This window comes from Homo sapiens, chromosome 1 (assembly GCF_000001405.40).
Source record: "Homo sapiens chromosome 1, GRCh38.p14 Primary Assembly".
In the NCBI taxonomy this organism is placed as follows: Eukaryota; Metazoa; Chordata; class Mammalia; order Primates; family Hominidae; genus Homo; species Homo sapiens.
Genome location: NC_000001.11, coordinates 224520540 through 224547121, shown reverse-complemented (window position 1 = coordinate 224547121; position 26582 = coordinate 224520540). Strand labels below are relative to the sequence as shown.

At 43.1% G+C, this 26582-nt stretch overlaps 1 protein-coding gene across 13 annotated transcripts in view; it reads right to left on the bottom strand.

Annotated features, from left to right (window-relative positions):
- CNIH3 (cornichon family AMPA receptor auxiliary protein 3) overlaps nt 1-26582 on the bottom strand; it is a 305915-nt gene that overhangs the window by 193433 nt on the left and 85900 nt on the right. Inside the window, exon 2 of one of the 13 annotated variants that reach the window (NR_136295.2) lies at nt 183-293. The exons of the other annotated variants lie outside the window; for them this stretch is intronic. The gene's annotated coding sequence lies outside the window, so the exon portion shown is untranslated. The remainder of the gene's footprint in view (nt 1-182; nt 294-26582) is intronic. 13 annotated transcript variants of the gene reach the window in all.

Genomic DNA, 26582 nt, shown 5'->3' with positions numbered 1-26582 from the left:
GTTAGGAAATCTTGCAATTTTGGAGATAATATTCTTTTGTTCATTCAGCCTCCAGCATGGAGACAACCTTGCGTGTATGCACACAGGTGGGCCCATTAGGTACTCACTCACCCATCTTACCACTACCAATTACTACTTCAAAAGTCCTAATTCAGTGGTTGAGTGTCTTGTTTCTGGCTTACCATAGTCACAGTCTTTGTCACTAAAAATATGTGCTTCTTCCAGCACCTGCTGTGTCCCATGTCAAATGGCCCCATCATCATCTCTTCAGGAAAGGTGTTCCATGAGGATCACTGGAGGACAATGAGGGAGATACAGACTTGAATGGTTTTATTTGTCAAAGCTGAGGCTCTGCTGACCTTAGAGTTTCATTAAAGTTGGAAGATACATTTTGACAACTCACAGAAGGCATGAAAAATAGGTGCTTCCTGGAGCAGTGGGTTGGATAAGGGTATTTTACATAAATTTTCTCTGGGACCCATGATTATAAATTTGCTAAACCAAGTGACACACACTGGGTCAGAATGGAACTCCTCCCTTTTCTTTGTTCTCCACTTCTCACCAAGGCATGAGACTCCAGCTCCACCACACCTCTGTGACCTCTCCTCCTAATTTCCCCTGACGCTGCTCAGCATTCATTACCCCCTCCAGGTTGACTACAACGTGCTGGGCTGTCTAACCTCGTGTCTCTCCTAATTCATGCTAACTGATGGCACCACAGTGCAGTTTGGAGGCTGGGTGTCTTGGGAGAGCGGGAAGTGCAGCATCTTACTGTGTTCTATTGTCATTTTTGTTTGCAAACCATTTCAGTTCTCCCTGTAAGCCTTCTGGAAATTAACAGCATGGGAGATATAACTTCATATATTGGGATTTCCGTTTGAGAAAAACTTCCATAAAAGTTGTATCCAAACATACAAGAATGAAACAAAGCTTGCTGCTTTGGTGTTAGGGACTGAATTGTGTTCCCTTAAAATTCATGTGTTGGAAGTCCTAATCCCAAGTAACTCAGAATGTATCTGCATTTGGAGATAAGGTATTTAAAGAGGTAATTAAGTTAAAATGAGGTCATTAGGGTGGGCTCTAACCCAGTATGACTGGTGTCCTTATAAGAAGAGGAGCTTAGGACACAAACACACAGAGAAACCCTGGGAAGCCACCTGCAAACCAAGGAGAGGGGCCTCGGGAGAAACCAAAGCTGCCAACACCTTGATGTTGGACTTCCCAGCCTCCAGAACAGGAGAAAATCCGTTTCTATAGTGAAGCCACCCAGTCCGTGGTATTGTGTTACAGCAGCCCTAGCACACTAAGCCACATAGTAATTTTTAATGTTGCAAAAGCCAAATAGTGACTAGAAGCCTGATGTTCAAGCTGATTCAGGGGAAATTACCCTCTTCATCACACTTTGTTCAAGGCCACAAGTCCCTGACCCAGACTCTTTATTCACATAAATCCCCTCCTCTGTGCCCCTTCTTCCTCCGCCAAGAACTTAATGATGTTTGTTCTTACAGCCACTGCCTTTATATCCTTCCTATGGCACCTAGTCTTCCAACCCGACACCTAAGCTTAATGTGACCTGAAAAGAGGAGGGACACACAGACTTGCATGTTCATGCTGAGGGGCAGGAATTCTGAAAGGACTAGAATGCCTGGGAATTTGGGTAGCCTAACTGATACTGTTGTGAAATACGTATTTTTAAAGATGATGAGAACTCATCTAAAAGCTCATTTCTCACTCCAAGTCTCACAGTTCATTGTAGACTCTGAACGTTATAATAGAAAGGGACTGAATTAAGATGAGAGAAGAGACAAGGGTGAAGGATGGGCAGAAAGGCAGAGCTGTTTGAAGCCGTTCATTGGTTCAACACACATTTGAGTCCCCACCATGTGTAGGAGCTACAGGTATGGTGGACAGCAAAAGCTACACAGTCATTGCCTTTGGGGAGCTTCTGCACACATAGGAGATACACACATACGTTTGTACATATACATTGCAATATGCAATCACAAACTGTAGGAACTTCTATGAGAAGAAAGTGCCAATGGCTTTGAGAGTGAGCTCAGCGTGATCTGCTCTGGTATCAGGGGCAAGGAAGGCTTATCTGAGCAGGACCTCTGAGTTTGTGCCACATGGAATCCATGGTCTCTTAGCTAACACTCACCCCACTCTACTTCCTCCCTCAGGCCAGAAGCCTGAAGACTACATTTTCCAGACTCATCTGCCAGCTGATTATGCTCATGGGAGGCAGTGGCAGGATACTGGAAAGTAGGAGGCAGGGAGAAGCCATGTGTTTTCTTGATTCTAGCAGTGACAGCAGCAATAGCAACAGCAATAGTGACAGCAGTGACAAAAGCAATAATGGTGGTGGTCGTAGTAGTGCCAAGAGTAACTGAGAGCTCTTGAGTTCCTCCTTGGGCAGTCAAGTTCCATCAGCAGCAGCCTCAGCAGCACAGCGGTCATGGGCTCTGGTGACATGGTGTTCGCTTCTGTGCACTCAGCCCTAGAGGTGGAGTGGCGTCCTAAAATTACCAATCTTTGAGTCATTTTGCCTTCCTCTTTGTTCTCCCACCATTCCAAGACCTCTGTTACCAATTTCCTGAATTGAACTCCCTATTTTAAAAACATAGAGCAGTTTTGCTTCCCTGAATAAACAAAATATTCCTAAAATAGCTCCAGGAAACTGATTCAAAGATAGGATCTGGGATTGATTATCTGAGTTGGCGTGCATGAGATGATGACCTCAATGCCAGTGGAAAATAAGATACTGGTAGTCCATGGGATGCTGTAGCAAATTGTTAGTTAAATTATCACTGCTGACTGCTTGAGATGAAGTGCATATGGAAGGTAAGGCTTCCTTCTCCCTGTGGAGACCAAGTGGTGATTGCAACTATTTTGGAGGGAGCAATAAATATAAAGACTCTGAATGAACTGACTATTTCTGAATGCACTGGTGAGTTCACAGAAAGAAAACTACAAACTTGGGGCTTAAATATCTCAGCTAATGCCATGGTCCAAGAGCCAAAAAGCTTTGATAACAGCACAGAAAGAACCTCTTATCTCTTAACAGCCAAAGAGCCAATTTAGCTAAAAAGACAGACCTAGAATCTGATCCTGTAGGTTGCAGAATTATAATGAACAGACCCACCCAGATCTCTTATGTGACCTATGAGTGTATAATCAATCAACCAATCCAGTTACTGCTGTAGGTCTTGGGTATAAAAGTGAACCAGACCAACAGTACTTCTACCCTCAAAGAAGTCCACACAAAGATCTGGAAGAAAGGTATTCCAAGCAGAGGAAAGAGCAAGTGCAAAGCACTGAAATGGAGTCAGCTTGGTGTGTGCGAGGGACAGAAGAAATGTCATCCTGGAATGCAGTGCATATGGAGGAGAGTAGAGGGAGGTAAGGCCAGGGAGACAGGCAGGAAGCAAGTCTGGCAAGGTCACTGCAGGCCATTGTGAACACTTGTTTTATTCTGGTCTAATAAAAACCATTTGGAAGTGCTAAGCAGGTGGTGTAATGCAATACAATTCTGACACTAACCACCCAGAGTCAGCACTGACTCCACAAGCCAAAAGGCATGGTCTCCAACAGCACTGTCCCTATTTAGAAACCAGCTGCAAGTTTGAGGGTCTTCAGACCACCCACACTTCTGACCAACTAGCTACAAATTCTAAGATTTTCATGGCCCCCTCAGGTTTGTTAATTGTTAGAATGACTCACAGAACTCCCGTGAACTAAAGTACGCAGGAGAGTACTGGTAATTACAGTTTTATGATAAAGGATACAAATCCGAAGCAGGCAAACAAACAGACACACAGGGCAAGATCCAGAAGGATCCCACACATAGAGCTCCTGTGCCCTCTTTCCCCATAGAATCAGGACGTGTCACCCTCCCAGCACCAACCAGGAAGCTCCACTAAACTTCTGTGTTGAGTTTCTATTAGAATTTCGTTACCCAGGCATGTTTCAATGAATTATTGGCCCACATGATTAGACTCAATCTCCAGCTTCCCTCCCCTCTCCAGAGATCCGGCTGATATCACATAGCTCAAAGCTCCAACCTTCTAATCTCATGGTTGGTCTTTCTGACTCAGCCTACCCACATCCTGAATCTTCTCATTTGCAGAAGCTGTCTAGAGGCCTAGCATGAGTCACCTCATTAGCATAAGCAATCAGGACCCACCATGGATAACAAAGACAACTTGGAAAATTCCAATGGTATTAGAGTCTCCATGCCAGGAACTAGGACAAAGACCAGAGAAATTATTATACAATAGCAGGAGAATATCATAATCTGAGTTAAATTTTAGAAAGATCACTGCAGCTACTATACGGAGGGGTTGACGAGAAGAGGCAAGAGTGGAGCTTACAGTGGCATTCTAACTGGACTGTTCCTAGGAAGACACCTTGGCTGTCTTTGGGCTGCCTAATCTCTCTTGGTCCATTCTCCAAACCTGGTTCCTAGCCTTCTCATTGATCCTATGAGCTACATCATATCCTTAGAGTAAATATTTTCTGCTAAGTTAACTAGAATTTGTTTCTGCTATTTTCTACCAAGTACTCTATTACATACACTCTTTCTCTTTCTACCATGAGGCTGCCATAGTTTCTCTTCCAGAAAATAGAATGTGGCTATTCTATTTCGTGTTCCTAAGTCACATGTTCCATCTTCAGACACCCACACTGGTTTTCAGTTCCATTTCCAAATTCCTAGGGAAGAGAGTTTGATCATTCCATTTTAGGTCATAGGTACTCTGTTAGTCCAATCAAGTGTGGCTAAGAAAGCAGGGTCATGTAGTACAAAATCGTTGCTAGGGCTTCATTGCCCAAAATTATTGTTACGTAGAATAGACACCCCAAATGTTGCTTCCTACAAATAGATGGAATTTAAGTAGCCAAGGAGGAAAAAGAATGAATTTTAAGAAGGAAAACATGAATTGATGATGCATAGAAGCTGGAATGGTTGTGGCATTTTCAAACAATAGGAAAGATTCTGGCCAAACCAGAGCAGAGGCATCTGATAGGAAGTGGAGGAGGTGTGGGCTTGACTGGGAAGTGTGAAGCCATTCTATGGAGGCCCTGAACATCCGGCAGAAAAGTTTCAACGTGTGAAGAAAATTGGAAGCCACTGGACTTGTCTTGGCTGGGGAAGATTCTGAAAAGTATTATCTAAACAGCAGTAGCAAGTTGAATTGGAGGGGCCATGAGTTTTGGAGTCCATTGGAGGTGATGCTTACAAAGAGTGAGAGACATTAAGATTTTTTAAAAATAAGATAAGATACAGTCGTTTTCTGTGTATGGAAAATGAAAGAGAAATAAATCATAGTTATGCTCACAAAATTAGTTAATGACAGAGTACCATGAATTGCAAAGCTATAAACACCCAATTTGTGAATCTTCTCTAAAAAAGAATAGCCAGTTGCATACAGAGCTCTTTCTGTGCTTGTTCCTCTGGTAGCCTCTACCCTTTGAGAAGCAATAGCATGGCTTGGGACTGCAAAGAACTCTCAAATCTAATGAATAGCTTCTTTCTTCTTTAGGAAATCATGCATTTTTGCTGACTCAGCTCAGGGTAACCACTATAGGAAATTTATTTTTAATATGCATGCACATCCTTTTTAAGGGCCTTTTCTCCCTCTTTCCTCTTATCTAACTTTTGCTCAATTATCTCAGAAGAAAATGTCCCATTTTGTCCCCTTTTTCTTCCATTTGTAAGCCAAAGAAAAATGACCCTAATCATGTATGATAAGCCTAAAGTAGTGCCAGTGATACAACCATATGAGGAAAAAGGAAAGCCATAAATTTGGAAGTGACACTTAATGTCATAAAGAGCCAGTAACATCAAATTAGAAAGTCCTGGAAAGGGCCCAAATTTCCCTTCGGAATCTCCACCACGGTACTCATCTATATTTTCAGCCCTTAATTAAATCTGCTTTCCGCTGTGCTTTTCATTCACCATTTAGTAAAAATGAAAACCTTTCTTAATAAATTTCAGAGATGGGAGATTAAATTACTTACATACATGCCAATACAGCAATGGAATTTTTTACTTAATTTTTTCTTGTAAATACATCATATGGCATCAATATAAATGAGTATGAATGACTTTAGTGGGCTAATCTGGGTACCCACCTGCATTTATAATACCATTTTTATAAGAAAATGCGTTCTATCTTCAAGCAAACAGACTTGCAGGCTGATTTCTGGAAATCTAGTTTTCGAAAGTTGAACACTGTTTAATTCTATAAAAATATTCTAATGAGAAATGCAAAATTGTATAATTACTTTAAGTATGAAATTGTATAATTATTTTAAGTCCAATAATGGAGAATTCCAACATGCAAGTTTAATGCATGTGACTTCCTTTTCTCACCACTTAATTGGTTTTGGTAAGCAGCCAGTTCTTTATTTGTTGTTCTTAAGCTGTCATTACAAATTCTGCTAGCTTACAGGGTAAAAAAACATGAGCTGGAGGTAGGGGTTTGGCTGCATGAGTTTTCTAAATATATTTATTAATGCTTCTTAAATTATCTTCAAAGCTGGGTATCTCCCTCAGTTTGCAGCATCTTGTCACTTGGTTTAGAACCACGATCTCACTTTAATGTCCATATAGCCAGATGCAGCTGCATTTATTTACATTTTTTAAATGAATGAAACTTTTAACTTGTTGACATATTGGAGAGTCTAAAAATGTCCCATTTAAACTCATCCTCACAACTACATCCGCATGGGTGGCTATTGAATTAGCCCCACTTTGCAGCAGAGCTGATTTTCAAGAGAAATGTTTGAGTAAAATTGAAGGGTTTAGAAAGCCTTATTATTGGGTGACACAGAAGAAACTACTTTGGTTGCATTTCAAGTTTCCAACTGAAATTTCAAGTCAGGGCCATGAGACAAAACCACAGGAGCAAAATGAAACGAGAGTGCAGCTGCATTTCCATGTAAGTTGGCCCGTAGGATACTTCCCCAGGAACTAGATGATTTTCTTTTGAACTTTTAGCTACGGTGAAGAAAGATCAGAAATTTTGAAGCTATGAGACATACTTCAAGGCCAGCCTCCCAATTACCCACGTTGTGTGCTGTGAATAGTACCCATTCATTCATTGATATTTATTGAGAGGCTTACTATGAGTAAAGCTCTGTGTGATCAATGTTACACGAATACAGAAAGGAATAAAATTCAGTGCACCCTCAAGGAGCTTACAATCTGGAGGGAAGGCAATTAACTATAATATAAAGCATATAGTACTTCTCAGAAGAAGTACTAGAATAGAAAATAAGCAAAATATAGAAACAGAATACAGAAAGACAAAGTTCAAAATACAGAAAGACAAAGTAGGGAATGATTAGTTCTAACTAGGTGGCACAGGGAAAGGTAGAGAGGTGGGTCTACCTCTCACGGATAGCATAAGCAAAAACATGGAGGTATGAATGGCATATTTAGTGAAGGGCAAGTAGTGCAGTATGGCCAGTATGGGGCAGTGACCAGCATGGGGCATAAGGAAGGCATAGGGTAGGTTGGGACTGAATCCTAGAGCGTTGTAAAGTCCCAGCCTGGAACTGAACCACGTATCTTGGAGAGCAAGGAGCCACTGATGATTCTGAGGAGGTAAAACTATCTGAACTGGATCAGAGAGAAAGATAACTCATGCAACAATGAAGAAAAGTCGAAGTTGGAAATTTGATATGTCATGAAGCTACTGAAATAATCCATAAGAGTCAAAAAGTACTTAAATTATAGCAGAATCAAGGTATTGGACTGGGAAGAAAGTTCAAAGGAAGAAAGGACAGAACTTGGCAATTGATGATTTGGATGTCAAGAGACCCTGGAGTTTAAAGAGAATGGAGAACAAGAAATGGAAGACGACTGAGGCTTCTGGCCCAAATGAAAGCAAGGGTAGAAGTCCTAATAGCCATGATAAGTAAATACGGCAAGAGGAGCAGTATGCAGGATGACATGTTAAATTAAGTGTGCTAAGTTTTAGTTACGGAAGAGAAATGCATGGGAAAATATCCAGGAGACCACTGGAAATCTGTGTTAGCCACAAGAAATTTAGAGGTGAATATAGGTGAGCCCCCTCAGACAGAGAATCTGAGCAGGAAAACATGGGAAGATAAAACTTGAGGAAAGGTACATTTAAACAGTAAGTAGAGGCTGGGCATAATAGGCTTATGCCTGTAATCGCAGCACTTTGGGAGACTGAGGCAGGAGAATCACTTGAGACCAGGAGTTCGAGACCAGCCTGAGCAACATGAAACACCATCTCTACAAAAAAAAAAAAAAAAAAAAATGTAATTAGCTGGGCTAGGTGGCCATTCCTGTAGTCCCAGCTACTCAGGAGGCTGAGGTGGGAGGATCACATAAACCCAGGAGTTAGAGGTTATGGTGAGCTCTGATTGCACCACTACATTCCGGGCTGGGCAACACGCAAGACCCTGTCTCTTAAAAAAAAAAAAAGAGAGAGAGAGAGAGAGAAGGAGGAGGAGGCAGGGAGAATCATAGAGAAGGCATTGTCCAAGATGTAGTAAAGAGGCCGATGTTCTTCCTTGTAGCTAAAGGATGGGGTACTGGGAGGCATGGGGTTTGAAAACTCCACCAAATAAAAGCTCTTCAAGATTGCTACCTGTATATATAGCAACCTCATTCGGTGCTACGACCACATCAAAGGACTTAAACAGGGTCTCTCCTTAGGAACAGAATTCTGTCCCCAAGCTCTCCTCCACACTCCTAAGAGACTCATCTTGGTCAGACAGTTATGGTGCCAAAAACTACCACATTCCTGAGACTCTTATGGGATGAATTAAGCAGAGAACGAATCTAGAACTTGGTAAAGCTGAAGGTACAAACTTTTCCACTTTAATTAACATGTCTGGGCCAGGCGCAGTGGCTCACTCCTGTAATCCTAGCACTTTGGGAGGCTGATGCGGATGGATCACTTGAGGTCAGGAGTTCAAAACCAGCCTGGCCAATATGGTGAAACTCCATCTCTACTAAAAATACAAAAAAATTAGCCAGGCACGGTGGCACCTGTAATGCCAACTACTCGGGAGGCTGAGGCAGGAGAATTGCTGGAACCTGGGAGGTAGAGGTTGCAGTGAGCCAAGATCGCGCCATTACACTCCAGCCTGGGTGACAGAGTGAGACTCTGTCTCAAAAAAAAAAATAATAATAATAATGTGTCTGATTTCCACTCTACTCCACTTCATATCCTGGGTCCTCTACCTTTAGTTGAGAAAATAAAGTTCCTTTTGCTTATTATGGATGGTACTGACAATAAATAGTCACACACTATCAGTTAAGCTGAAATTAATCCAGCGTCTCCCTGTATCCCAAACTAAATGGCTGTTATTGTTCTTATAATTGCTGCTGCTGCTGTTATACATTATATATGCATACAGTGCTTTATATGTGTGAACCAAAAGTATCTGAGACAGGTCTCGATCAATTTAGAAAGTTTATTTTGCCAAGGTTAAGGACACACCTGTGACACAGCCTCAGGAGGGCCTGACAATGTGTGCCCTGGTGGTTGGGGCACAGCTTGATTTTATGCATTTAGGGAGACATGAGACATCAATCAATATGTGTAAGACGTACATTGGTTTGGTCTGGAAAGGCAGGACAACTCAAAGCACGGGGGCGGGGGCTTCCAGATCACAGGTAGGTAAGAGACAAATGGTTGCAGTCTTTCCAGTCTTTTATCAGCCTTTCACTGAATACACGATTTACATGTGAGGGGTGGGTAGAGGAATGATCACTTAGCCTCAGTGCATCTGCAGTTTTGCATAAACAGTAAGGCAGAGAAAGCAATCAGATATGCATTTGTCTCAGGTGAGCAGAGGGATGACTTTGAGTTCTGTCCTTTGTCCCGCAGTTGTGAAGATCAGCTATCAACTTACATTTCCAAAGTGAAATTCAACAGAACCGTTTCAGGGTAAAGATCTTGAGGCCCATAAAAATTTCCTTGCGGGCAAATTGTGATGGAGATATGTAGTTTTTTTTTCCTTTTTAAAAAATCTTTGTAGCTATCTTATTTAGCAATTAAATGGGAGGCAGGTTTGCCTGATGCAGTTCCCAGCTTGACTTTTCTCTTTGGTGTAGGATTTTGGGGTCCCGAGATTGAATTTCCTTTCACAGATGCGACCATCCTTTGCTCATGCGTTGATTCATTTGCTCCTCACCACAATCCTGTAAGGAAGACACTGTTTTTCCCTCTCTAATTCTCACATTCAGAAATTTGTTACGCTAATCTCTTCCCTCAGGATTGAGTCCAGTCATCTTCCCAAGTCTTTCTCCAGCACTTTCTCTCCACTAACTGGAATCCCCCTCACCTCTTTTCCTTTAATATGATTCTTTCTTTCTAACTTTGTCCCTAGACAGTGTCTTTCTTTGGACAATCATTGCCTCTGAGCTAACAAGACCACTATTGTCTATCCCATTTTGTTTCATCTGTCCCATCTCTGCCCCGTCACCTTGGAGCATTAAAGGGCTCTACATTATGACTTAGCATTTCCCACAATTAAAACAATTATGGGCCAGGCACAGTGGCTCATGCCTGTAATCCCAGCACTTTGGGAAGCCGAGGTGGGCAGATCACCTGAGGTCGGGAGTTCGAGACCAGCCCGACCAACATGGAGAAACCCCATCTCTACTAAAAATACAAAATTAGCCAGGCGTGGTGGCGCATGCCTGTAATCCCAGCTACTCAGGAGGCTGAGGCAGGAGAATCGCTTGAACGCAGGAGGCAGAGGTTACGGTGAGCTGAGATCACGCCATTGTACTCCAGCCTGGGCGACAAGAGTACAACTCTGTCTCAAAAAAAAAAAAAAAAAAAAAAAAGACAACAATTATGGCAGCTATTTCCCACAATTAAAAAAAGGGGATGCCACCAAAATGCAAATAGGCTTGAAAGGGAGACTTTTTCTACTAGGCATATCCTTGGAAAGTCAAATCAAAGGTGGGGAGGGGTAGGCTGCTGACAGATGGATCCTTGCCCCATCTGACATTGTCAGGACACATTTCCCATCCTCATCCCTGCTGGGGACCCCAATTTTGTCCACTCTTCTTTGCACCCCAGGGAGGCCGACTTTTACAACTACATCCACAGGTTCCTTTACCCTCCAGCTTCTGGTTAAGGGATGTTAACAAAAGAGCCAGAGGGCGAGAGAAAGAGCAGGTGTTTATCTTCTAGCTCCCTCCCTGCCTTGCTGCAGGTGACAGCGGTCCCATGCCTCTACAGGAGGCCACAGATCCCACTAGGCAGCCATCTCCTGCGGCCACACTACCGCTGTCCCCAGCTCTGGGAATAGGCCCTTGCCCTGCCTCCTTCACGCCTACAGGTGGATTTAATGGCACCCACTGTTACCAGCCCCAGTGGCAGCAGCCCTCCCTTGCATCCTTGGTGCTTCCCTCACCCCTGTTCACATCTTTGTAGTGTCCCTTCATTCCACTCTCCTCGGTTACTACATTTGACAGTAACCTGCCAGACAAGGTCCCTGCTACAGACCATGCAGTTCCCCACACCCCTGTTATGCCATCAGCCGCTGTAAATCCCTTCACAGTAATTAATTTGCTAAGTCAATTCAGTTGAGTACAGTAACATTAGAAAATGAAACTTCAGACACGTTAACCTTGATGAAAGGGACAGTCCGTTTGTTTCTCAGTGATGCTGTAACAAACTACTATATGTTGGATGGTTTGAAACAACATAAGCTTATTCTCTTGCAGTCTGAAGTCTGAAGTCAAGGTGTCAGCAGGGTCCTGCTTTCTCTAAAACCTGCAGGGGAGGAGCCTTCCTCACTTCTTCTAGCTCCTGGTGTTTGCTGGCACCCTTGGCTGCAGCTGCAGCCCTCCTCTGTCACGGCATGGAGTTCTCCCTGCGTGTCTCTGTCTTCTCTTGATGCTCTCCTCGCTGCGTCTACGTCCAGATTCCCCTCTTCTTATGAGGACATCAGTCCTATTGGATTAGGGCCTGCCCTAATGACCTCACCTTAACTTCACTTAATCTGTGAAGTGCTTATTTTCAAATAACATCCCATCTGAGTTGCTGGGGGTTAGGACTTCAACATATCTTTTTTGGGGGCAGACACAATTCAGCCCAGAACAGACAGATGTGGAAATATAGGCCGGTAGGTGTCTATGAGTACCTGGTGTTTCTGAAGAGGCTGAATCTGCAAGGCACACTGCCTACAGCTGATGAGTACCTGCCAGGGTGGCACCTGCACCTGCCACTGGGGGATTGGCAAGAGGTACTTAGGAAAAACAGACCAACCTCCGGGACTTGTTCATTGTGGATCAGCCCCTGTAATGCGGCTGTGAAAAGGTGAGGAAAGTAATGTGTCAAGTTTGTAAAAAACTTGAGGGGGTGCAGGTGGAAGACACTGTCTGTGGTGATATATGATCATAGCAGCTATGTTTAGACTCTCCTGTTATAGAAAAGGACTCCATGTTCATGCTAGTCTCACCACTGATTTTTTCCATGTTTTCTCTGCTGAGTCCATTACTGCTTCTTCCAAAGACTTTAACTCAAGAAAAATAATCTCTGTTCTAAGACCACAGACTTGCTGCTTGGGTGTTCCAAGCTGGCAACTGGTATTTTTAACAGTCATTTTTTATAGAATCGAGAGATAAAAATCTGGGGACATCTATAGACAGATTGAAGATCTAAAAGTCTTAAATCCCAAATTACAAACCATAATCCTCCATTTCCTCACCCTATAAAGTCAACTCCCAGCATTTTGATGAACAAGTTTTACCATCCTGGGTAAAGCATTTTCCAGACTCCACCAGACATTTCAGACTCTCAGTAGTCTCAAACATTTACACTCTTCATATCCAATCACATGTCATCCATTTCATACATTCATTCAACACACAGTAATTTGCTTAGCAGATGTTATGGTTGAATTGTGTTCCCCAAGAAGATATGTTCAAGGGTTTTTTGTTGTTTTGTTTTATCTGAGACATGGTCTCGCTCTGTCACCCAGGCTAGAGTGCAGTGGCATGATCATGGCTCACTGAAGCCTCAACCTCCGAGGCTCAAGCAATCATCCCACCTCAGCCTCTGGAGTAGCTGGGACCACAGGCATGTGCCACCATGCCCACCTAATTTTTGTAGTTTGTGTAAAGACGGGGTTTCACCATGTTGCCCAGGCTAGTCTCAAACTCCTGGGCTCAAGCGATCCACCTGCGTCAGCCTCCCAAAATGCTGGGATTACAAGCGCAAGCCACTGCTCCCAGCCTATGTGCTCCCAGCCTATGTTCAAGTTTTAACCCTCAGTACCTGTGAAAGTGACCTTATTTGGAAATGGGAACTTGCCAATGTAATCAAGTTGAGATGCGGTTAGACTGAATTGGGGCAAGCCTTGATGCAGTATGACAGGTGTCATTATAAAAAGAGGAGAGGAAACACAGGGACAGACATGCAGGGAGAGCTCCACATGATAACAAGGCAGAAACTGGATGAGGCAAGAAAGGCCACGGATTACTAGCAGCACCAAAAGCTAAGAGAAGGGCACACAACAGATTCTCCCCTCGAGGCTTCAGAGAGAACATGGCCCTGCTAACACCTCGATGACAGACTTCCAGCCCCCAGAACGATGAGATAATACATTTCTGTTGTTTTAAGCCACCCAATTTGTGGTGATTTGTTACAAAAGTACTAGAAAAGTGATACAGCAGATAGACTTTTAAATTCAGCCAGACTGTCCTCTCTCTGATTTTTTTTTTTTTTTTTTGAGACGGGTTCTCACTCTTCAGAGCTCATTGTAATCTTGAACTCCTAGGCTCAAGTGATCCTCCCACCTCAGCCTCCCAAGTAGCTAGGAATATAAGGGCGCGCCACTACTCTCAGCCAATTTTATTTTATTTTTTTTTTTTGTAGAGACATGCTCTTGCTCTGTTTCCTATGCTGGTGTCTCTGATACTTTAATCTGTAACCCAACTCTATGACTTTGCCAGAGCATTTTCCTCTATTTGGAATTCTCCTCTCCACCTCCACAAATCAACAAAGTCTAACCTTTTCTCACAGCCTGACTCAGGTTTCTCTGTTCCTTGAAGGTTCCTGAATGATGCCAGCCCACATAAATTTCTCCTGAATAGACTCACATAATATTTATTACATAAATGATACTATTTAGTCCTTCATTATACCCTTTGTTTTATTGTCTTTGCCACCACTTCTCTACTGAATCTTCCTGAGCCTCAATGTCCTCATCTGTACAATAGGAATAATCTAAACTCACAAGGTGGTTGCAATGGTTAACTTAGATAATATTAAGTTGAACCACATAAAGCTGCGAAACAGTCAACCTGATATATATAAAGTCTTTACTACAGCATTTAGCATTAGTAGATACAAATTGGTGATGGTATTATTCCTGCAGTTATTCTTGACTCCATTTAGTTTTATCTCCTAGATCATTTAAAAGGTCTTGAAAACAAAAATATTTCTATTATCTGACTTTGTGACTATGTTAGGTAGATTCTATTCCACTTAATTTAGCAAATGTTAATAAATACCTGTTGGTTGTCCTATGGGCTCCAAGCTAGATCTCAGGCCCAGAATACAACCACTTCTGCCCACTTCCAGTACCACCACCCAGATGGGAGCCGCCATCACCTCTCACCTGGATAACTGCAAGAGCCTCTGCTGGTGCTGCTTCCACTTTGCCCTCGACAAGGTCTGTTCCTAACGCAGTTATGAGAGTGGTCCTCTTACTTGTCACATCATCCCACCCTTCTTCTTCAAACCTTCCACAGGCTCCCCCATCTCAGACTAAAACCCAAAGCCCACAAGGCCCTCTGTGCCCAGACCTCCTGTTTTCTGTCTGACCTCATCTCCTGGCTCCAGACACTGGGTCTCTGTGCTGTTCCTCGCACTCTCTAGAGCCTTTGCACGGGAAATGGTCGTTTGTGGCTCTCTCCTTTACCTTCGTGGAAAAACCTACCTTGATCGCTCTATTTAAAATTGCAATCCACCCATGCCCCGAGTTCCCACTCCCCTTACCCTCCTCTATTTTGTCTTTCTGCACCATACCTTATAAGTACATCTTTATTACTATAGATCTGTTACTTATTGTCTGACTTCCCTCCCACCCCACCGTCTACCTTTCCTTACTAGAATACAGGCCCCACAATGGAGGAATCTTTGTCTTTTTTATTCTTCAACCCAAGTACCTAGAACACCAGCAGTCAGGAGCAATAAATGTTTATAGAGTGAATGAATGCCTTCTCTCGCCTCTCTACCATCTCCCCAAATAGACTTCCTCCACTTCGTTTGTTTTATTTGTGCCAATTGTCTCTCATCTGCCTCTGTGCTGCAGACCCTCTCCTGAGCTCCAGCTGCCCACCTCAGTCACTTGGATGTCTCACAGATGGGTCCAGAACTCACACACATATTCTCCGCAGTGCAGTGAAATTCATACTTTGAAATTCAAATCCAATCATGTCACACCCCTGCTAAAAATCCTTCTATTGCTTCCCGTTACTCTTAGGATAAAGACTAAAATTCTTTCATTCTCTGCATAACCTGGTTCCAACACATCTCCATTGATCTACAATCCTCCCTTGACTCATTCCAGTTGTCTTGGCCTTTCAACTCTTCAAAAGTACCACATTCCCTATGACCTAGAGCTTCACTTCGCTAATTCCACACTCAGCTTTAACACTGCTCTCCCTAGAAAGCCTTTCCAGACACCGTAGGTGGGGTCTTCCTATCTTAGACCCCTGTATTATATAAAGGTACACAGTGCACCTCTTCATAACATTCAGTAGTATGACTAATGACTCACTGAGTCCCTGTTTTCCCCATAGAGTTCCAGGCTCCATGGAGTTCCAGGCTTCATGAGGGCAGGGTTCATGCCTGTCATCTTCCCCACTGTACCCCCAGTGCCTAGGGCAGTATTTGGCATACAGCAGGTATTTATTAATGGTTACTAAATAAATGAAGACACTGATGTGACTACAGCTGGAATACACTATTCTCTTTCTCCACTCTCACATTCCTGAATCTTTCTCCTTGATGTCTCCAAATCAACATGATAGGAAGAGGAAATTGGAAGATGAAGAGAGGCCCTACGCCCTGAACCCCCAGTTCCATGCCTAGGAAGTCTGCTCTATTCAGCTAGCCCAGGAAAAGCTTTATTTTATCCTAGGGGGGAAAAAAGGAGAGTCATGGAATGATGTGATGGAAATAATGCTGGGTTTACAGTAAGAAATGTAGGGTTTAGGCCACACAGTGGCTCACGCCTATAATCCTAGCACTTTGGGAGGCCGAGGCAGGTGTATCACAAGGTCAGGAGATCGCGACCATCCTGGCCAACATGGTGAAACCCCATCTCTACTAAAAATACAAAAATTAGCCGCACATGGTGGCAGGCGCCTGTAATCCCAACTACTTGGGAGGCTGAGGCAGGAGAACCGCTTGAACCCAGGAGGCAGAGGTTGCAGTGAGCCAAGATCATGCCACTGCACTCCAGTCTGGCGACAGAGCAAGACTCCATCTAAAAAAAAAGAAAAAAAGAAAAAAAAAAGAAATGTAGGGTTTAAAATTCCAGCTCAGCATCTTGAGAGCTGTGTAGTTTTGGATGTGTCTCAGCCTCACTCCTTTCATCTGTAAAGTGTGGATACTAATCCCCACTTCACAGGCTTGCTGTATTAAATGTAATGCTGTGCATGAAAGTGGTTCCTAAGCTCTAAAGCCTAGAACACACAAATTTTAGTTAATATTGATAATGATAACCTAGGAGTAATTACAATGGAACAGCCAAATGCAATTTGAGACTTGACTAATGGGACTTAATTTACTCTGTACATAATAAATAATTGAGAAATAATTCCTGAATGGAGGCACATGGAAACTGCACAAACAAAATATAATACTACATGATGATTTACACAAACAAGATTTTACAGCATATTCTCTAGTCCCCTCCGGCATTCCTCCTGGAAACGACCTTACCTTGGGACCCAGGGAACTGCAGAGCATGTGTTTGGTGAAGCTTTGCCCAGGTTCCAGACTTCCCAGAAGTGCAGCCCTCTCCTGCCCCAGAAGGCAGACTGTTTTCCATGCCTCCACAGCATGATGTAAGGGCAGCAAACAGCAGGTGCTCAGCAATGCCAGTACATAGCAAGCGCTCAGCAATACCAAGCTGGCTCCCCTCCATGGATCTTCGGGTCCATGTTGGCCAAAAAGTCTTGGTTCCCATGCCTACATCAGCATTTAAAAATTCAGGACAAAGTCTCTAACCCCTCGTTATGGCCATTACACCTACAAGGGCATGAAGGTACAGCCCGTTATCAGAAACAAAGTCTGACTTTTAGCAGGTTAGGCCTAACTAGAGTTCAGAGGAATATACAAAGCGTTTCTTCATTTTCCCCATGGAGTCCCTTATCAGTTCCCACTCACATGAGCACTGGAAAATAACCTTCCCTCTCTGCCTCCCCACCTTGTATGTCCTATCCTACCAACTGCCCCCATTAGCATTTGAGTTTCACCTGGAAGGGGCAGCATAAGTTCACTAGGGTTGTGTGTGAATCTAGAGGAGGCTATAGGTCCTTCTGGTCATTCGGAGCAGCACATGTCCAAAACAGCCCTCTCTTTTTGCTAATATTGAGTACTTTGATAGCATCCTTGTGTCACATCAAAACCCCCGGCCTGGTAAGATGGAATAATATAATTATGCATCCCTCCACTGCTCATACCTGAATGTTTCTTCTCTTGTACTTTATTTTGAATTCATCCTCTCTTGCAAAGATGCTGATAAATATCCTGCAGGAGCTGGATTTTATGCAAAAACAAAAAAATTTAAGATGCTGCTAAATAAATTAACTGCCAGGCTGACACAGATTGTATCAAAGTAGAAACTGTGTCTCTGTGCCAATGGATCACTGGATACCAGTGTAACACAAACAAAGTAAGAACAAAGCTGAACAGCTGCTCTGAACTTACAAACTTAAACAAGCTGGAAATCAAGATGCAGGAGGCCACCTGACCTATGACTCACCCTGCTTTCCCATTTCCGGTGGGAGCAGGGAGAGCTGCCTGGGGGAGGCTGCCCCAGCCGACTCGCCCTCACAGTGTCCATCTCCTCTTCCCCCAAATGGTACACAGTCCATGAAACAGTGATGCCAGCAGTCTGCCTACCATAAGCACATGGGCAAGGGCTGTCAGGAAGACAGCAAAGAACCTCAACATTCTCCAAATTCAATTCTTAATCCCACCATTAGCTTCCTAAATGACCACGCGCAAGTTGGGTAGTCTCTAAAATGTAGGATATTTGTGATATGCTCCACATGGGACATTGTCAAATACATTATTATTGTTCATAGGTTTCAGGTAATTCTTTTTAAAAATGAATTTGTCTTTATATTGTGACCATAAAATATAATCATGTAGAAAAACAACACATAATCATTATAGAAAATTTGAAAATACAAAGGAAGAAAACCCAAATTGCCTGTAACTCTATGACCTAAATGTTAACTACTATTAGCACCAGGCATTGGCCAGCTGCTGTGGCTCATGCCTGTAATCCCAGCACTCCAGGAGGCTGAGGTGGATCACTTGAAGCCAGGAGTTCAAGACCAGCATGGGCAACAAAGCGAGACCCCCAACTCTCTAAAAAAATTTTTTTAATTTTCTAGGTGTGGTGATGCCCACCATGGTACCAGCTACTCAGGTGGCTAAGGGAGCAGGATCCTTTGAGCTCAGGAGGTTAAGGCTACAGTGAGCCATGATCACACCACTGCACTCCAACCTGTACAATATAATAAGATCTTGTCTCTTAAAAATACATAAATAAATAAGTAAATAAAATTTCAAAAAATAGGCATTTTGTTAATTTTATTTTATTGTTTTAGAGACAGAGCCTTGCACTGTCACCCAGGCTGGAGTGCAGTGACATGATCATAGCATACTGCAGCCTTGACCTCCCAGGCTCAATCAATCCTTACACCTCAGCTTCCCAAGTAGCTCAAACTACAGGCATGTGCCACCAGACCTGGCTAATTTTTTGTATTTTTTATAGAGATGGGGGTCCTGCCATGTTGCCCACTCTGGTCTTGAACTCCTGGCCTCAAGCAATCCTCTTACCTCAGCTTCCCAAAGTGCTGGAATTACAGGCATGAGCCACTGCACCCAGCCCAGGATTTTCCTTGAACTCTTATGTGTGTGTACATATACAGATACGGATCCAGCTATTCAGATATACTTTAAAAGAAGTATTATTATTGTATAGATATAGATATATGTATATGCATACACATATATAATTTTGATACTTTTATATTTGTAATTGACACATAATTATATATTTATTGGGTACATACTATTGTTTTGATGCATCTAATGTACAGTGATTAGATCAGGGTAATTAGGATATCCATCATCTCAAATATATTTTTTTTTACAAACTCTATATATGAGTCCTGTTTTTATTGCCTAACATTGTATCCAAGCCAATTTTCCATGACTTTAAAAGTCTTTTTAGAAACTACTTTGCATAAAATTCTGCATAAGATTCCATCGTAGGGTTTTAGTAAAATCATGTTGTGCTATAAATACAGAGTGGAGTAACTGGTAGCAAAGTGTTCATCAAACAGCCTGATATGAGCACACGCCAGCCCCTGTTTTAGGATCTGCTGCCTTAGTGACACCCATCAGGCAAAGTTCACAATTTTATTCAACAGCCGTTTCACTGGTGCTTTTGTGAAGTGAAGAAAATAAAGTTTCCTGCAGTAAGAAACAGTATTTTCTCTCTTTCTGGAATTAAAAAATTACCTTAGTGGCTCACACAATTCCTTGAACAGATGGGTGATAAATGCGGTTATTTACAATGTCAGTAGGGCACAGGATTGACAGCAGGCTAGAGCCCCTGTGATGCCTCCCTCAGCAGTACAAGCCCCTGGTATGCAAGATCTGTGCAGGGTTCATCTTCATGTCCCCCCAAGCACCTGTCCCCCACACACTTTGCATATACACACAGTGAGCACTCACGCTCATCAAGTTTTTTCAGCCCTGTCTTAGTCTGTTTCGGCTGTGACATTGTCGGATATTTGTACCCGCCAAATCTCAGGTTGAAATATAATCCCCAATGTTGGAGGCGGGCCTGATGGGAGGTGATTGGGTCATGGGGCTGGAGCCCTCATGAATGGCTTAGTGCTTCCTCGTGATAGTGAGTGAGTTCTCATGAGACCTGGTTGTTTAGAAGTGTGTGGCCCCCTCTCCGCTTCTCTCTTGCTCCTTCTTTCACCATGTTATGTGTAGGCTCACGCTTTGCCTTCCACCATAATTGGAAGCTTCTAGAGGCCTCCCCGGAAGCAGAAGCCATCGCTATGCCTCCTGTACAGCCTGCAGAACCATGGGCCAGTTAAACCTGTTATAAATTACCCAGTCTCAGGTGTTTCTTTGTAGCAATGAAAGAATGACCGAATACAGGCTGCTATAACAAAATGCCTTAGACTAGGTAGCTTATAAACAACAAAAATTTATTTCTCAATGGAGATAATTTGTAATACTGAGACCTAAAGCCCTCCAAATACATGCTGCATTGCAAAAAATAAATAAATAAATAAAGTGAATCTGCTCTCCCACCCGCAAAAAAGAAATCTATTTCTCACCATTCCAGAGGCATGAAGTCCAAGCTCAGGCACGAGCAGCTCCGGTGTCTGGTGGGAGCTCTCTGCTTCACAGATGGTAATTTGTTGCTGTGTCCTCACATGGCACAAAGGGGGAAAAAAGCTCCCTTCAGTCTTTTACGAGGGCACTAATCCCATTCATGGTTCATTAGTTTGCCCTTGTGGCTTAATCACTTCCCAAAAGACCTAACTTCTTAATACGATCACATTGGGGATTCAGTTTCAAATATGAATTTGGGGGGACACCAACATTCAGACCCTAGAAAGCACCTACTTTTGCCTGGTTAGCCAGATGCTGAGGAGGAGTTTTGACTTGAAGTTTTGTAGGAGGATAAAATTCATACATTTGTAATAGAAAAAACCAGCAAATGTAACTGTAGTTAAGTGAATCTGCTGTGCTCCCATTCTGGTCTCTGATCCAGAGCACATACATGTGACACAGTGCCCAGCTGAAGCAGAGGATGAGAGAGAACCCCGCAGAGCTCACCAGGCATGGTGATACCTTAGTGGTAGCACATAGCTCAGGCAAACCCTTCAACATACCCTCAAGCAGCACAAACTCCATTCTCCAGTGTATGGCAGGCCTGTCCAGTGCCTCCTTAGAGCATCTCTGTCTCCTGGCTCTTCTGCCTGGCCAGTTTCTAACTCTTATTCTGTATTTCCTGGATCTTATTCTGATACCCCCATCTCCTCAGCTTTTGGCTCCTTCCATTCGTACTCCCAGGATTCCATCCTTCCCTAATCTCACTGTTTCACCTACTTGTGACTCAGACTGAATCTAATACACATCCCTGACCCTTGAACACCACAGATCTTGCTATATTCCATGCTATCCTAGGCCCAAGGGTGATGGCCCACAAAGCTACTGCCTCCACCCCCCATTTCCTGGGTAGAACACACTGCTGTTACATGTGCGTGTAGAGCAGAAAATACTGCCATCATTGTGGCATCCATGCATCAGTGAGCTGGCTCAGCTGGAAATTCACAAGGACACACCCTGACTGTGGAAGGTCTGATGCTCTTCACTTGGGAGGAGGGAAAAACAAGCTATGCGGACCTGAGCAATGAATTCCTGATATGGACTGCTCCCAAGCCTTGGATGCCAAAGCAAGGAAATGAAAGAATATACTCAACTAGGTCTTCCCCCACTGGGTTAATGCCTGCAACTTAGGCATTTCAGTAAAAGCCACTCTCCTTTCATTTAGTTAAAAGTTGCATGACACCAAATATATGCAAAACACACGGAAGTGTTTGTGCATTTCCCATAGCTGGTCGCAATTATAAGATTCTCAGTTGAAAGTTTCAGAAACCCAACTCATGTGATCTCAAGCAAAATATGAGATTTGTGGGGTCCGTGCAACTAAAACATACAGGAGGGTAATTGCCATGAGAGCTTAGATTAGAACATCAAACTTGGTCTCTCTTTTTTTCCTGCTTTGTTTTCATCTTGAATGGCTACATTTAGGCGGATACTTCCTATGTAATGGCAAGAGAGCACCCAACCGCTACAGATTTATATCCTATAGTCTAACAGCATCAGTGCAAAGGGAACTCTTCTCTCCCAGGAGATTCTCAAATGTTCTGGAATCTGATCTCATCGCTTGGGCTCCTGGTCTGAGTCACTTGCCTATCTCTGAATCAACCACTGTGATCAAGGGAAAGGGATAAACCACACAATCTCGGTTGGGAAGACACTGTTTCTCCAAAAGAAAATCAGGGAGCTATTATCATAAGAGGAAGAAATTGATACTTGAAGGCAAAAATAACAAATACACCCAACAACCCACCCCTTGGCTTCTCATTTTCTATACACATCCTTCTTTGCATTTGTTCAATTTCAGTAATATCCCTACCTAACACAATGCAACTATACTACATACTTTCAAAAACTAAGTCATTCCCTCTACAGTCATAGACAACCCAAAATTATGCCCCTGTTTTTGCACCCAGCTCCAAGACCAAGATCTCAAGGTCATACAGATATCTATCAAGGTGATCTGTATATAGCAATTCATAGTTTGATACCCTAGAGGCTAAAGGATAAATGTAAACCAACCCAACACACTCAGTATATAAGACAGAAGAGAAAATAGCAGAATATAACAGAATTTCCCATTTGGAAATGAGAAGGGGAAACAGCCTACTGTGATCACCAGTCCTTTATGTACATCATGGTCTGTTGGACAAGAACAGCAAGGACTCACACTAGCAGGGGACTGAGGTCCTTGACCAGCCGATCTGACAACCCTGGTTCTGCCCTCTGAGAGGGTCCCCTTTGCCAGTCGTCCTCCATTTCCACATCTGAGGTGGGACCCTGGGAGGATCCTTTAGTGACCCATTTCCAGATGGTGCAGATTTGGGAGCAGGGGTTTACCTTGGGCTGACCAGAGGCCCTTTTTAATCATGCTGGGAGTTTTCTGGCAAAGCAATTCCCTAAGAAGTTTATAACTTAGTACTTTTTCAGTCCATTTGCATCTGGTCATTTCATGGGACATTAGGCAAAGCAAGAGACAGTGTCCTCATCTAGACTCTGGCCTGGGAGTTTTGTTTCTTAGCAGCAGCCTCAGGGCTCCATCCTCCTTCTCAGCTTAATGGCCTCCACTTTAACCTCTGCATCAGTGAAATTCAAACTACAGCCTGGAATGGGGAGGCCCTACTAATGTGCCTCTTGCCCTGCAGCTCAGGGATAATTATTATTTTAATGAATCACTGATTTGTACTCTCACAGCCATCTCTTCCTCCATAGTCTATGATTAGGAGACTTTTTAACATTTTTATTGACATGTAACACACATATAGAGAAGTGCAGAGATCACACATCTTACAGCCCACACACATCATCACAAAGTAAGCACCTCTGTGTAACCATCGCCAGGTTGAGAAATAGAACAAAACCAGGACCTCAGAAGCCCCTCTTTTCCCCTTCCTATCACCAACCCTTTCCCCTGTCCTCAAAGGTCTCCATTCACTTGAGTTCTAACACCATATATTCATTTTGCCTGGTCTTGAGTCTTACATAAATGAGACTCTATGGTATTTCATCATATCAAGCTTCTTTCACTCAAAATTATATCTGCAAGATTATTTCATGTTGTTGCACATAGCAATAGTTTGTTCTGTGTATTTACAAAGTGTTCATTGCAAAACTACACCACAACGTATTTACCCACTCTGCTGTTGATGGGTATTTAGGTTTTCTCAATTTGGGACTATTATAAACAATGTTGCTAAGAACTTTTTTTTTTTTTGAGACAGGGTCCCTCTCTGTCACCCAGGCTGGAGTGCAGTGGCCCAATCATAGCTCACTATAACCTTGAACTCCTGCACTCAAGCGATCCTTCTGCCTCAGCCTCCCAAGTAGCTAGGACTACAAGTACACAGTACCATGCTCATCTAATTTTATTTTTTATTTTTTGTAGAGATGGAGTCTTCCTATGTTGCCCAGGCTGGTCTCGAATTCCTGGTCTCAAACAATACTCCTGCCTCAGGTTCCCCAAAACACTGGGCTTAAGGGCTTGAGCCATGGCACCAAGCCAGCACATTTTTTGTGTTTTTTCTTACACATACGCACACATAGACCTAGGAGTGGAATTGCTTTGTAGTAAGATATGCATACATTTGCCTTTAATAGATAATGCCACACTGTTTTCCAAAGTATGTGGGCCTCTTTATACTCCCACCAGCAGAGGATGAGGGTTCCAACAGTTCCACATATTCATTAACACTGATATGATCAGTTGTTTTTTTAGGTTTTAGCTGTTCTCCTAGAATGTGTAGTGGGATCTCCTTGCTGTTTCCAGGCATGTCCCTGATGACAGGTGAGGCTGAGCACTTTTCCTGTTCATTGTCATCTGTTGTGAAATGCCCTGTCAATCTCTTCCTCTCACTATTCTATTGAACTGACTGTCCTTTTGTGATTTACTGATTTATTTGCTGGAGTTGTTTGTGTATTCCAGATAGGAGCACTTTACCAGTTAGACACGCTGCAATACCTTCTCCCACCTGTGGCTTGGGCTTTCACTCTGCAGTGACAACTTTTGATAACCCCGAGGATGGTTGTCATCTGTCCTGGAGGAGTCAAAATCAGACTCCAGCTCCTTCCCAATTTTAGTAGTATCTTCTATTCTGTTTCCAGTGTCTCTGTCTTTGCTGGAATGAGTTTCATCATGTAACAGAGAACTCATTTTTTCCAACCCTGCAAAGTACAGTGTTGTCTGGCTCTCAGTTACCAAAAGAGAAAGGACTTCTTTTATCAAAGACACATTTTTCTTTTTTTTTAACTTTCAGATGATAGAAGCTTGTCTTTTTCTCATAGGAACTCACTAAGAACTTCAGGAAGTAGCCTACACACTCCACAGCCTGACAAGTTCTATCAAGTACTTTAATGATCCAATCTCCAATGGCACATGCTGTGAGTCCTAAGGGAGAACAGGCAACAATTTAATATGCTTTATCGGAGCATAACAAAGACTGCCAACTTCTTAGCCAGGGATAGGAGAACTTTATTGCCTTCCATTCTACCTGCAATTTGCCAATCCACATTTTAGGGTCTATTACTTGTAACACTCCATTGCTAGGTACCATTCCTGTCAGTAATCTTTTGCAACTCAAACTAACTTACATACAAAAGAAAAAAATAAGGTGGGGGATGAGGGAAAGATTTATTATGTCATGTAACTGAATCATCTGTCACAGCTGCATACCGGTCTCAAGCAATTTCATTTGGACCAAGTTTCTCACCATCCCTCTGTTCTCCTCTCCTCATCCCTCTACCACCCCTTTGTGTCAGCTTAATTCAGTCAACCATTCATTCATTCAGGTAGGTAGGCAGGTAAAATAGCCCCCAACAATTCCAGGCTAGCATGTTATCTTTTCAAACACCCCAGGTCAGGGAGAACTTGTCTTTCCCAAGAGTTCCAACCAAAGTCCTGAAATTAAACCTCACTGACCGGGCTCAGATCATGTGCTCACACTGGAATGATGGACACAGAGGCCCCTTCACACCCAAAGAAAACCCAGTGTGTGTTTCTGAAGGAGGCACAATGGAGACTGGGCAGGTGAAAACAAAAGGTAATCTTGACAGTTATTTACTAATTGAAAGCATCTTAAAACTTGTGACAACCCCTATCATGTGCCTACCCAATATTCATCATCCTTACCCCTTCTTCCTGGCTGATGGAATCTCAATTTCGCTTGCTTGGCAATATGTCCAATTTCAGGGCATAAATCATAACCAGTCTAAACCAAGGACAACATGCACGCTCCCCTTGTCCAGATTATTTAATGGGTGAATTTATAACGCTCTCTGATCAATAAGATGGACAGAAAATCGACTTGGGGGGTGATTTTCCTTCCCAAGTGGAGGGGAGGTTTATACAGACAGCCCACTTGCTGTCCTGGCCACCTCCAAGCCTATTCCCAGTTCCTGCCTCTGGATGGATTTGCATGTGGACGTGATGCCTGGAGCCACAGCAGCCATCTTGTGGACTGTAGGGGGAAGGTGGAGAGAAAAGCAGAGATGCCAAGTTAGTGCCCTGACGACATGGAATTACTGATCCAGATCCAGAAATACCACCTCCAGGATGCTTGTTCAGAATGCAGTATGTATAAAGCCATTGGTTTTCAGGCTTTCTGGTTCTTACAGCTGTATATACTCTAACTCTCCCATAACTATTCTCCATAAACACACATGAGCCTCTCTTCATGCAGCTGTGGCAGGCAAGGAATAAGCAGGAGTTCAGTCAGCCATCCTTCCTTAAGATGAAACCACCTGGATTATCCCCATCTCACAGTACACAAATTCGGGACTGAAAAAGGAACACAAGCTATGCATGCACTTCCTGTCCCAGAACCTCTATCACTGTTCTCACTTCACTTTGTATTAGCCTGAACCTTATGAAACTGACAATATTCAATTCAATGCTTTTTCTGATCTACAAAAAAGGCA